This window comes from Homo sapiens, chromosome 12 (assembly GCF_000001405.40).
Source record: "Homo sapiens chromosome 12, GRCh38.p14 Primary Assembly".
In the NCBI taxonomy this organism is placed as follows: domain Eukaryota; kingdom Metazoa; phylum Chordata; class Mammalia; order Primates; family Hominidae; genus Homo; species Homo sapiens.
The window spans coordinates 85,806,472-85,818,638 of record NC_000012.12 but is presented as its reverse complement, the minus strand read 5'-3'; the positions used below and the strand labels follow the sequence as shown (position 1 = coordinate 85,818,638).

General features: G+C 31.7%; 1 protein-coding gene across 1 annotated transcript in view; it reads left to right on the top strand.

The window, feature by feature from the left end:
* Window positions 1-12,167, top strand: part of RASSF9 (Ras association domain family member 9) — a 35,707-nt gene that overhangs the window by 17,771 nt on the left and 5,769 nt on the right. The gene's annotated exons all lie outside the window — the stretch shown is intronic.

Below are 12,167 nucleotides of genomic sequence, written 5' to 3'. Positions count from 1 at the left end.
AGACTGTGTATGATGAGCCACTGGATTGCAAGAAAATCAATTATTGAATATTGCATTGTAGATAAGCTTCTATATTGATAATACATTGATGTAGTTGATAAATATATATTGTCTTATGTTTTTATGCCAAAAAAGCAAATTTTCTCAATAGGTTCAAATCGAACTCAGATATTATATTTTGTTTTCAGAAAAAAACTTACTAAAACATATTGATTATTATATTGGATTTACTAGAGAGTTCATCAGTGGTCTGACTCAATTATAATTCATTTATCTAAACTTATTTTACTCCACTTATTAGCTGAGGGTAGCATTGAACAAACAATCTCTTGTGCCTCAGTTTTCTAATCTGTAACATGGGTTTGATAATACAACCTATTTGATATGGTTGTAATGAAAAGTGAATTTATATGCATAAAGCATTTACAACACTTGCTGACATTTACTAAGCATACAATAAATATGAGTTATTATTATCCAATGTATCTTTTACCTATCCTCAACTGTTCTTTAGTTATCTTACTATTTTTTAAGTAGCTGTGCCTCAGCTACCATGCCCACATTAATCATGTTAAGGCACAGTTTGAATAGGCCTCCTTTACAGACAAGATCTAAATTACCACCTTCATCCCACATTAAATCTCTTGAAGCTCTTTCTACAAAGGGTTGTGGAAGTTGTGAATGAATTGAAGGTATTGAGGACAACTTCTATGTCTTTTTTATTATTTATTAAAGACTACTTAACTTTATTGTTGTTTTTCTTCTCTGAAATTGTATAGTACATTTGTACAGAGCATATCTTATGATTTCTAGTAATGCTTAGTGTGGTCTTGAATTTTAAAAATTTATTTCTCTAAACATGTACTTTTTTCTTTCCAGCTATGTGACAATTTTCTGAATATAAAGATCACTTTATCTTCCATTTCTTTTATAACCTTAATACCAAATCATATTTGTTAAAACTGAAGTTCCATTAACAAATACATGTTGAAACAAATTATAATAATTTATATACCATAATTTAAAATGAACAATGTATTTGGAGGTAAAGTAACCTAGAATAAATGCAATTTACTTATATAAAAATTTTTATTAAAAATTGTACATTTAAGCATTTATTCTTACCCAATTTTCTCTCTAAATTTCTGCTTGGGTTTGGATTGCTTCTTTTCTCTAATTACAAAGACAACTAGTCATATTATACAAAAGATATATTTTTCTCTTACATAGTCATAATAAAGCTAAATTAATTTATTAGGTAAACCAATTGTAGTTGCACTCTAATAACTGATTCGTGGGAAAAGATAGTATTGAATTTAAAAGTATGATCTCTTAGTTTGAAAATGGCTGTGACATTGTATTTGACTCTTTAACATCTAAATGGATTATTCATGGCATCTTAAAACACTTTAAACTTCATAATTGGTATAGAGCTGGGTTTGCAAACTCAAATACAAGTTTACAATTTCTGGAACAGGGATTAAATTTAGTAAACTTGTTCTTTATAATTAAACACATCTTTATTATTTAATGTATTATATGCTTTCATTCAAAGCAGTATGAATTTCTACACATTCTATACATTTAAGCCTGAGATAAATATACTGAAATATAATATCTTGTCTTCTTATTGTTTTATAGCTCCCATTCCTAACTCTATTTCCGAACTTGGCATCTTTGAGTTATTCTATCTCCAAGTTTTGTTTGCTGGCATGTTTTTAATATGAATGCCATATACAGTGAGCTGGTGAGGTTTTCAGTAGGCTGGACCTCATTCTCCATAAGACTCAGTAACTTATTTGCATAAGATGTTCTATCTAGAAAGGATTTTCATAACTGGCTTAGTCATTTATATTTTTCATAAAAAGTTTAATTTTTATGGAAAAGTTATTAAAATCTGTGCTTACTGCTTTGTCAGCTTCTCTGACCAGAAATCAATTTTTTTCTCTGTATTATTATTTCATATTGCATATGTTAGAATATCAAACACATATAGGTGAATAATATTTTGTACTAATTCTGGTTTTGTTTCATGCTATGACTTTAAATTGTGTGATGATATTAGGGTAAAATCAGCTTCCATCTACTGAGGATTATATTATTATAAGTGTACTGATATTTAACTGAAATTTTGAAGGGAATTACGTGTATTATGTTTTAAGAAAATATTAGAAAGATAATCCCCATTTCTCTGTGGAAAGAAAATTTCGGCTGAAAACATTTATTTACCCTCTACAGCATGAAAAACATCAGGCTATGACATTATCTTAGCTTAGCCAACTACTGATAAAATGTAGAATATTAGTAACCATTGCTTTTTTTTTTTTTTAACTTTTAAGTTCAGGGGTACAAGTGCAGGTTTGTTACATAGGTAAACTTTTGTCATGGGGGTTTGTTATACAGATTATCCTTTCACCCAAGTATTAAGCCTAGTACCCATTAGTTATTTTGCCTGAACCTCTCCCTCCTCCCACTCTCTACCCTCTGAAAGGCCCCAGTGTGTTGTTGCCCTCTATATGTCCATGTGTTCTCATCATTTAGCGCCCTCTTATAAGTGAGAACATGTGAGTACTTGGTTTTCTGTTTCTGTTAGTTTGCCCAGGATAATGGACTCCATTTATATTCATATCCTTGTAAGGACATGATCTCATTCTTTTATAGCTGCATAGTATTCCATGGTGTATATGAACCACATTTTCTTTATCCAGTCTGCTGTTGATGGGCATTTAGGTTGATTCCATGTCTTTGCTATTGTGAATAGTGCTGCAATGAAATATGCGTATGTACATGCATTTTTATATCTAGCCTCTATAAGGAACTTAAACAAATTTACAAGAAAAAAACCAAACAATCCCATAAAAAAGTGGGCCAATGACATGAACAGATACTTTTCAAATGAAGACATACATGCGACCAATGCGTCATATGAATTAAAGGTCGACATCACTGATCATTAGAGAAATGCAAATCAAAACAACAGTGAGATACCATCTCACTCCAGTCAGAATGGCTATTATTAAAAAAACCAGAAATAACAGATGCTGGCAAGGTTGTGGAGAGAAAGGAATGCTTATACACTGTTGGTAGGAGTGTACATTAGTTCAGTCATTGTGGAAGACAGTGTGGCAATTCCTCAAAGACCTAAATTCAGAAATCCCATTAGACTCAGCAATCCCATTACTGGGTATCTACCCAAAGGAGCAACCATTGCTTTATATTCAGCAATCAGAAAGCACAAATAACCATATTTTTGTTTAGAATAATGCATGTCACCAATTCACATGAATAATGGTGACTTTGTGACCATATTAGATTCCAGAATGTCTTCTGGACAACAAAAGCAAAATATTATATTCAGTTTAATTTTATTGCTAAGCTATTTTTCAAAGGCTGTCCCTGACTTATTTAGACCTATCTTTTATGCCTACAACTCCCCTAAACCAGAGGTTTTTGGTTTTTTTTTCTCTCTCTCTCATTTCGTACAGTTGTGTGTGGGGTTTCCCTTTCACCTTGTAAAGACTGCAAATAATTTCTTGGCCACCTCTTTCCTTAACCTTTGAGTGCCTAGAAATCTTCCTTCCTAATTCTGATCTTTGTTTGTCCCTTCTGTCCAGGACAGAAATAACAACTTCAAGGAGGGCATATAAGAGAATTGCAATAACCTATTGTGCTGACTCACAGCCCTACCACAACCATCACTGCATGGGTCTCCACCATTCTGAGTATGTCATGTCATCCACACATCTTCTTTTTATCCCATAGCTCATTTCCCATATATAGTGGCCATATATTCAAATACAATTTCTTAATCAAGAAGAAAAATTTACAAGGCTATGAATGGAAGCCTTTCCATGAACTAAAATTAATCTTATTCCTTAGAACCAGCTCTGGAGTTAACAAAGGGAGGCCCAGTTGGGTAGAATTAATTATAGCAAGCATAAAGGTTGATGATGGGATGAAAAGGAGCAAAAAAAAAAAATTTCTATTCATATTTTGTTAAATAGAATGCCACCTTTAATCATGTTTTAGACTACTTGAGATTGGTGGGTCTCCCTGGCTTGCTATTTTTGCTTTAATAAATTTTACTCTTAGATTCCCTAGAAGTGGTAAGAAAAAGGGGTACAAGGGGAGCTATGATGAAAATATGTTTTATTTTAAATCTGGAACAGGGCTTTTCAGCAGTGCCACTATTGACATTTCAGGCCAGATAATTATTTGATGTGAGAGGCTGTCTTGTGCATTGTAGGATATTTATCTTCCTGGCTTCTACCCACTGGATACATACTGTTTGGTTTTAAATCTGGAACAGGGTGTGTCAACAGTGCCACCTGATGTGAAAACCAAAAATGTCTCTACACATTGTCACATATCTCCTGGGGGCAAATCACCCTTGGTAGGGAACCACTGAGATAAACTTCAGTTTAGAGAATAAACAATGGTAATAAGAAGGAAACAAAGACCAGTTTTGGGAAGCTGGCCAAGACTCAGATATGCCCCCAAAGCTTCACAGGCCTTATGCTTCAATCTGATGGAAGTTTCCATCACAATCTCTAGGCATAGGTGCCACCAATAGCTTGAAACTGAAAAGGTCCAGACTCTGATTTTCAAGCACGAAGTCTTGTTCTGCAGAGACTCAAGCAATAAAAGCATTTCCCTTGGAATCACTCCTTTACACAGTAGCTAGATTGTGTTAGTATTATACTTTCCAGGCTGGCCTAGGAAATAAAGAGTTATTTCATATGTTCTATGGAAAAATACATTCAGAGTTCTCAATATTTTCCATAAATATTTACAGATTGCATCCTAGTCTTCATATAATGGGTTTTAGAAGCATATCTTATAATGTAATTATTCTTAATTAATAATTTACTATTTTATTTATTCTTATTATTTTGAAAGGGTTTGGTATTCATCCTGCTAAGTTTTATATATAAAATTTCAGCCAAAGTTTAGTGTTTACTATACACTAGGAAGAAATTTTGCTCTTTGATTGATTTTCCAGACCCCAACTTTAGTGCCTTTTATCTTTGGATCACTGAATAAAGATTGCCAAATTATATCCATTTATCTTCATTTTTCTCTACCTCCACACTAAATTCTTTTTCTGTAAATATAAATTCTGTTGAATCTCCAATTTGATGTTACAATATCATAGACAATATTTTATCTTAAAACTTCAAGATTTAAACTTAATTTATTTCTTGATGCTTTGTGCTTAGTCAATTAAATTATTTTCAAAGTATATTTGATTGTATGAATCTTGCCTTTTTATTACAAGCCAACTCATTTTAATTCTGTGTAATTTTTTATGTTATTAATGCTAATTATCAATGGAGAACTATTTTAAGCTTTTTCTTCATAATAGAGTCAATGTAAAAAGTTTCATATTCAATTTTTCACTAATATTTCAGAATGAATATGGAAAAATATCCCTGAGGCTAACACATGTTGTTGAAAGTTTCATGTAGTATATAAATCCTCTTGAATTTATGATGAAGATATTCTAAAAAGGCAAAACCTGAATAATTAAACTGGTGTTGACGAATAACCAAGTATATATCTATCTTTTCAGTGAAATGTGCCTCATTAGCACAAATTTAGTCAAAATCAGAAAACTATAAATCAGGGGAAGATTAAAAACATTCTTGGGCTCATCTTTGATCCAAAGTGTATACTAATGATTTTTAAAACGCCTCTTATTTGGTTAAGAGTTATTTTATTTTGGTAGAGTTCATGCCAATAAAAAAACAGACTAGTTGAAACAGGTGAAAAAACATTGTGCATAGGTTAGAAAATATTTATAAAATAATATTGCTAACTACTATAGTAAGTTCAATAAGATTACTGAATAAGAATACTAAAAACACTACACCATTCTCTGTATTAAATAATAATAGTGGTAATTTTATTGTCATTCCTAATAACCTGTATTTATACAGTATATTTTCCACAATTTTCCAGTTCTATTACTCTTATTTTTATTTGCAGAAATATGCCAGACATCTATATTGCAGTATTATAGTGAAGAATATATAGAATTAGAAAAAAAGATTTAGCTAAATTTTTAAAATCTGATAGTAAAAACTAAGATAAAATCATAAATTTAAATTTTCAAGTTCAATCGTTCCTGCTATATATTTTTCAAAATATTTACAAATGAATCTCATCAATATTTCAGGGGATATTAAATTAAAATGTATATTATAGCATTATGAACTTTAAAACATTTCTCTTGTGTATATATTAATAATTTTCAAACATACTATGTGATTATAAACTATCTTTAAAATAAACAGAAGTATGCTAAGCAACAAAACAAAATATTTCTGTGAAAACCTTAGGATATATTTAATATTATCAAATTTAATAAGGTATCAAAAACACATATACAACTAAGAATAGTTATGTGCATAAGAAATTTCATAAATGTATACTACATATAGTTGTAGCATAATATGTGCATATAATAGTGTAACAAAATCTTTTGAATGATGTTTTGAATTGCTTTTCATTCAATTTCCAATAACTAAAAAGATAATTGTGTGGAGTAGTTATGAAATTGTGGGAGTCATAGTTTAGATATGACTAAAAGAGCATTTTCTCTTTTGTTAGGAACCATTCTTGAAATGGACAAACTAGTTCAAGTCAAGTCCAAACACAGCTATGATCTTATTCAATTTTGAACATATATTTCATTGTACAACTTCTTAAGTTTTATTGATTGTGATGAGTTTTAATCAGAACCAAAATGTGACATACCCTAATTAACACTGAGTAAGATGGTACTCTGAATTTTTATTTGTTCATTGTTTTTCCTGCTTAAAGTGGACATCTGGTGAATTACCTTGTTATATGTAATGGTGTAGATAACTGATTCAAATCTTTCTGACCATATAATTTATTAAAGAAAGTTCATGGATAATAAGCTATTAGGATGCTAAGTACTATACTTTGAAGCCATGACCCGATTGAATTCTGGCTTATGAAATTTTATATCTACTTGCAAATTGCGAAGATAACAGTTATCAAGTTAACCTAAAATTCAAGACCGAAACTGGCATAAATTGTGAGTGTGATAGTTACTTTATTCTGTTAAATGTACACTTTTTTGAGTAAATGCTTTTCCTCTATAATGTAACACAGGAGTAATAAATTTGGAATCCCATAATCCAGGAAATCTCTATTTTATAACCAGTTAATTTAAACTAACCTACACTTGCAAACAATTATGGTATTCCTATAGAGGTGCCCATTAGGATATCCACCAGTTGGTTACTCCCTTCCAGAGTATCTAGTGAGGATCACTCCTGGAACCAACATCAATATCAATTTTATCATCTGCCTTCAGTCTCAGTCCCTATTCCTCTAGTATTCCAGAGTCAGATACAGGGGATTCTCTCAATGCTTGCCTTTATACTGAATGTTCAAGAAGAAGATAATAGAATTAAAGGGAGGCAAAATTATACCTTACCTAAAAGCATTCAACCCAGGAGTTTGATTAACTATAGTAGGTAAAACATTAATTTTATGAGGAAAAGTGCATTGAGTTCCAAGTGTTAATTTAAAAATAACTATTGACACATAATCAGTTCATATAAATTGGAAAATATTTGTAAGAATAGAAAATGGACATGAATCTTGGGATATGAGATTTCATAAATTAGAAACAAAATAAAGCAATGTTTATCTGCTCAGCCCCAACAAACACACACACACAAAGTAAAACAGAACAAATAACAATTTTACACATGCAATATATGTGCATATTTTATGCAATCCCCTGTTGCATTAGAATCAGAGGTTGTGTGTCTCAACTACTAGATTTGAATCCATTAGTTAAGAACTGTTTGTTACATGGTATTACATAACGAACCAAGCTATCTAGTCTAAATTTGTATGTTTAAACTTTAGTTGTGTTTGCGTTTGTAGATATTATTTCTACTAAATAGTAAATTTTCAAAGATTGAGATGGGAACATTTTATTTAGGCCCAGTTCGAGTGTTAAAATATTTATTTATATCAGACGACTGGATTTTCATGGGGCTGTGATCAAATGAAAGTGTTTATGTCTATAAAGTAATGATTATTTAAGATTTCTAAACTGGTTTAATTTTGATGGATATTTATTCCATATCCTTTCTATATTTTTTAATTTTTTTAACTTTATGAAATGATGCTGAGGGTCATAAGTCTATATCAGTCTAGCAACTGGGTGCTACTAATGTAATAAGGAATTTAGCGCTAGAACCACCAATAAACAAACAAAACGTTCCATTCTCAACCCTGGCACTGTTTCCCACCATAAGAGAGAAACATTTTCTTGTAAATCACACATGTCTTTGTATCATACACATTTCCCATGACAGTGCCAGCCACAGAAGAGGTGCTTAACAAACATTTGTGGAATAAATGAATAGAAACTCAGCCGCAGCCACATTATAAAATAAATATGGTTTATTTTAAATAAATCCTAAGTCTGCTATAAAGGAGACTCTAGGCTTGGTGAAGCATATAATAGTTATGAATGATTTATTGCCTGAATTCAGTAATAGATGGTTATTACTTTTAAATGTGCTCAGAAGAAGTTTTAAAAATTGTTCTGTTTGAATGATTGTAAAATTTCCCCGAAATATTGAGAAATAGCTGACTGCAGAAAATAGAAGGACATTCGGGGCAGATTTAAAAAAGAAAAAAAGAAAATGATAGTTTTGGTGCCAGTCAGATTGTGAGGTTATTAATAAGGCATTACTTTTTTAGTAGGTAACAGAACCAATGTGCATGATGATCATTAGTGTTCTTTCCATATGAGCTGAAAACTGGCAGATCTCTGGAGGAGGCCACAATACACAAGAATTTGATCCTTCCTAAGCAGGAAGGATTCCAATTGGAATAGGGGTCATGGGAGTATTGGGGAATTGTCACATACATCATCATCATCATCATCATCATCATCATCATCATCATCATCATTATTACTATTCTACTATTAAAAATGAATATATGCTCAGTTTCTGAGTCTCCTTCAGAGCTCTAGTGTAGGGATGAAGAATTTATATGTCTGCTACAGGAAATAGGGACTACTCTGAGGAGACAACAACAGAGGTTTTTGGTTACATGAGAGTTTTGTCAGCTAAGGGAGATACCCAGGTCAGCCAGAAATATTTTATTACTGCATCAACTATAGAACAAGATTTGACTAAAATTAAAAAGGCACAGAAGAGAACAATTTCTGCACACATTTCTTTATGGCTGCCTAGTGGAAAAAGTTCTTCCTCGATCATTTGAGTGCTCTAATGGGGCACTGTGGTTCATTCCATTGGTATCAAAGACTAATTTAAGTTCTTGCTAAAAAAGTGGTTCATATTATTTCCAAATTAATCCACATATCTAAATTATAAAACTTATAAATTTGTTTTTATAGTGTAGTTGTTAGAACTGCGGACTCTGGAGCCAGTTTTCTTGCTTATGTTTGAACCTTCATTGTACCACTCACTGTGTGACCTGAGGCAAGCTACCAACACCTCTTGTGCCTCTCTTTCTTTATCTGTAAAATGGGGATAATATTTTTACCTTCCTTACAGAATGGTGACAATTAAATTACTTAGTACATGCAAGAGATTCGAACAGTGCCTGGAACATTTTAGATACTTTATGATTGATAGTTACTATCTTTAATGCTATTTATTTTGAACAGGGTTTCTTTTAGAATTTAATCTTAAATACCAAAAAATAACATAAAACAAATTTGTCCTTAGTTTTAACATAATAACTATTAGCATTATAAGGTTGATAATTATGACCACTATTTAATTTTATTTTTACCATTATTTATTTTAAAATAAAATTTTGTAATTTAACATGCAATAAGTACATAGAATATTGTTTATTGCTTTTCAAATATCCTAGTTGAAGTAAATTAACTCTATGTGGTACAAAAAATGTTATACTAATTTTGGATATTGCATGCACATAATTAAAACATATTAAGGTAAGGATTTATTTAGAGCTGACTTGTGCTATATAGCCATAACACAGTAAGTTAGTATCACTTACTTAAAGAACTTACTTGTTTTTGTTTAGACAGTATTTGTGTCTTATATCTCTACTAATCAAAATATGAAAGTAAGTTTGGTATTCTAATTTCTAACCTACTCTTTTGCTACTTGCAATTATTAAATGATGAATTATAAACATTGTCAAATATCATACTTACTTCAAAATATAATACTCAGTATTGAGTCATTAAGTGCAAAATATTTTATAAGAGAATTAACACAACTTGGTGTGATTTTTTGAGTAATAAACTATAACATTTTACTTCCTCCATGTGAATACTTATATTTTCCTGGAAATTTTTTGTTAGGAGTTGGACCTAATCTTTAGTGTTACTTGGCATCCCTGATGTATCTTTCACCTTTAGTAATAACTTTTTTACTTCATGTGAGTCAATAACCAAAGTATAAGAGTTAGTTAATTTAAAATAAAGATAGCAACATAGAATTAATCACTATTGCTGCCAAAACATAAACACTATAAATTCTAAATGTTAAATTATTATAGAAGGCAGGGAAATTTTCTTTGGTAAGTGGTCCCTGGAGTCATATCCTTTGAGTGCACTATATAAATAAAGTGATAAATGATTTGACTTAACTTTCACAAGAAGCCAATTACTACTCAAAACTGTTATACCATCATAAATCACATTGTAGCATAACTAATTTCATGTCATTTGTTTCTTAGCATTCTTTTAAAGAGGCATTATGAAAGACACAGTCAACTTGATGCATAGTCATGATGGAAAGTATGATCTTAAAAATGTTCCAATAGGTATGATCTAGACATCATGGAATTTTTGCTTCTTTTACTACCTGTGTCATTTTTTCTCCAGAGAACTGAAGTGTTTTTTTCCCCTTGACCTTCTATAGAACAGAGAAAAGTACTATCAAGCCCATATATACATGTATATTTACATAAATACATGTGTGTGCCTCTCCGTGCTGGGTAGGGGGGATCTATCTGTCTAATCATCTATATCCCAACTCTGATTCCTTTATGATATCTGTACTGTTAAAACTCTAGTCCAGGAAATCATCATCTATTTTCTAGACTGATGGAATAGGCTTCTTGCTTCTATTTTTTTCTATTTTCCAGTCCATTTCACAAACAGAAGACAGACATATGTAAAGCATAAATTAGTTTTACCTCTACTTAAAACTTTCCAGTTGCTTTAGCTTAGGAAGGTGTTAGCTAACACTTTCTTTGGCTTCCCCCTTCTCTAAAGTAGGGGATGGAGAAAGGAGATGTTGCTTTTCTCCATCCCCTCTGTTGCCTATTATTTAATCTCTCCTTCCCACCAGCAGCAATTTCCAACTCTGCTATCCTCAGCTTTCAACTACATTCACAGTATTGCTGTCCCTAGATCCTTATACTTCTGCTCATTGTTCCTGGAATTCTTTCCTGAGAACTCTGATTGCCTCTTTTTGATAATGGATATCCCTATTCAAATGTCACCTCCTTGGGGAAGACTGTCCTAAGCACTTTAAGTAAAATAGTCCGCCCTTCTTCCAGGTCGTTTTCTATTCCTTTGCCCCATTTAATTTTCTTCATAGCATTTACTGTGATTTGATATTACATTAGTTACATATTCATGTCAGCATTCTTGTCTTCTTTGTTTATTACTATATCCTTAGTATCTTCAGGTGTGTCTGGCATATAGTTGGCATGAAATAAACAATTGTTAATGAAAAAGAATGACGATTTTTCCATTTTGTACTATTTTTAACTCTATGATTTCACTATCGCTACCTATGCTTTAATTAAAATAGCCTCAGTTTTCTTGAATGAAAGTTTGCTCTTCCCAGAGCACACTAGGAAATAAAAAGATAATTAAGATTCTTTCCATGGTTTTTATATTTTTCTTGCATTATATCTTCTGACTTTTTTTTTTTTTTTTTTTTTTTTTTTTTGAGATGGAGTCTCACGCTGTTGCCCAGGCTGGAGTGCAGTGGCACAATCTCCACTCCCTGCAACCACCGCCTCCTGGATTAAAGCAATTCTCCTGCCTCAGCCTCCTGAGTAGCTGGAATTACAGGTGTCCATCACCACATCTGGCTAATTTTTGTATTTTTAGTAGAGACGGGGTTTATCCATGTTGGCCAGGCTGGTCT